At 37.3% G+C, this 1,963-nt stretch overlaps 1 annotated feature.

Moving 5' to 3' along the window:
* Positions 521-690: an enhancer, noted in NCBI's record as "experimental_98226 CRE fragment used in MPRA reporter constructs". NCBI's record gives its function as "activates a minimal promoter by MPRAs in K562 erythroleukemia cells, with activity observed for both the introgressed and non-introgressed 7:21195352 variant alleles {active_cell/tissue: K562}" and the evidence as "EXISTENCE:reporter gene assay evidence [ECO:0000049][PMID:34662402]".

Here is a 1,963-nt window from a genome sequence, read left to right as displayed (position 1 = left end):
ATCATAACTCCTCCTTTAAGCATTACAGCATAACAATCAACATATGTAATTGGGTTGAAGGAATCTGGCTTTGAGTCAAAAACTAGAAAAGAAAACACTGATAGAGAAAGTAGAAGGTTAAGGTGGATACTTTAGAAACTGGGACATGGTATCAATGAAAAGAATCAACATGATCTAACCATCAGTCTTGCTTCTAGCTGTTACATGCCTGTGATGGTGGCCCTGTCTGCTGCTAAGTATAAATTTATAGGAATAGCATACTTTATTCAAATCTTATGAAATAAGAAATCCAAGAAATTACAAGTTTGAAAGTGAACTAAGATCTTAAATTGGCAGTTTTGATGTGTGGTTCTGTGTAGTGCCGTTAACCTTGCCAGGAGGTCTGAATGTTATGTTTTGCGCATCCCACCTAATAATGATCACAGTTTTTGCCAGTGTTTGAATATTCTGTATACACTACAGTTCTTGTACCAAAGTACACAAACTATCAAAGTTTTTGTACTTTGATAGTTACAAACAATATTACTTACAAACTTAACATTTCTTATTTACCAAATAACCTTTTAAAGATATCTGTGATAATGAGTAAAGAATATGATCAATGTTGGACTATTTTAGAATAACATGCATTGGAGAATTCTCAAGAATTACTGGGAGTTCTGATTTCTTGTTCTTATATTCCAGAGATTAGTATCTGTCAGAAATTTGGAGACACTATTTCACTCTTATCTTTGATTTCCCACATGCACAAAAATGCATAAAAGTTTTAAAAAGTTCTATGTAGCTTCAATTATTCCTATACTTGATGGAGAGGACTGGAGGAGGGAGTGAATAACATGAACAAAAGAAGGAAAAGTCAGTAAAGTGGATTCTGAGGTAACATTAAGACCAATCTCCAGGAAACATTAATTTTTGTTTATGACCCAATTCCAAATTCACTGTGGGTATATATCCACCTATCAGATCATAAGGAGCTAACCAGGGTACATAGAGCTTGCTATATGTCAACACTGTTGTAAGCCTTTAAATATATCAACTCGCTGAATCCTCCCAGCAAACCAATGAGGTTTCCCACCTTCCAGATGAAAGAACTAGGGCACAAGAGAGTTAAATAACCTGCCACGAATAAGTGGAGGAGTCAGAATTTCACGATGCAAAGAATCTGTGTTCTTAATATGATATATTGCTTAACACTGAATTTAGACAATATGTTCAGAATTACAACTTTAATTAATATTAGGAAACTCGATTCAGTCTCCCATTCTTTCGTTGTTTTCAGGGATAATAGGTGTCAAATCTAGAAACCTTCCTATAGGCATCAGAGCATCTGGGCACAGCGTCTACTGGGATTTCTTGTTCAGGTAAATGAATTATATACAGCTTTGGTACAGGGAATTCCCCTAGAGTTGCATGGGTTGACAATCTGGCCCCTGTATTTTTAGATTCTTGTATAGCTGGTGACAACTCCTGTCCCACAGCAGCCTGATTTATTTCCTGACATAAGCTGAGATCCTGGCTCACAGTGTTTTGTAGCCTTCTGGAAACGACCACACCTACAATAAAAGGCAATTGCTGTAACAACTGAGCATGTGTGAAATACTCAAACAGCATTTGCTCATCCTCTCCAGGGTGGTAAGTGTATCATGGCTTAATAATGTGAGTGCCCCAGCTTCACACTTAAGTTGCTAGAACAAGGAAGTCAGGATGTTCCAGATTTTCTGTAGGAAAAGGGTACATCCATCTCAACCCCAGAGGCCAATTGAGATTGGAAGGTCTTGAAGGACTGAATCTACAATAAAAGTCTGCCCCCCAAAATTCAGACCTTCAACACTAATTTCTTTTTTAGTGATTTTTTGCACCTAAACTGGGTTGAAGATGTGCTGGGGAAAAGGAAATAAACATGAGGCCTCTTTCTTTGAAGTTAATTATGGGCCTCCTTGGGTGATTCAAGGGTTGGGCCATA

Source organism: Homo sapiens, chromosome 7 (genome assembly GCF_000001405.40).
Source record: "Homo sapiens chromosome 7, GRCh38.p14 Primary Assembly".
Classification (NCBI taxonomy): domain Eukaryota; kingdom Metazoa; phylum Chordata; class Mammalia; order Primates; family Hominidae; genus Homo; species Homo sapiens.
The sequence above is the reverse complement of the archived record's forward strand: the minus strand, read 5'-3'. Positions and strand labels throughout refer to the sequence as shown.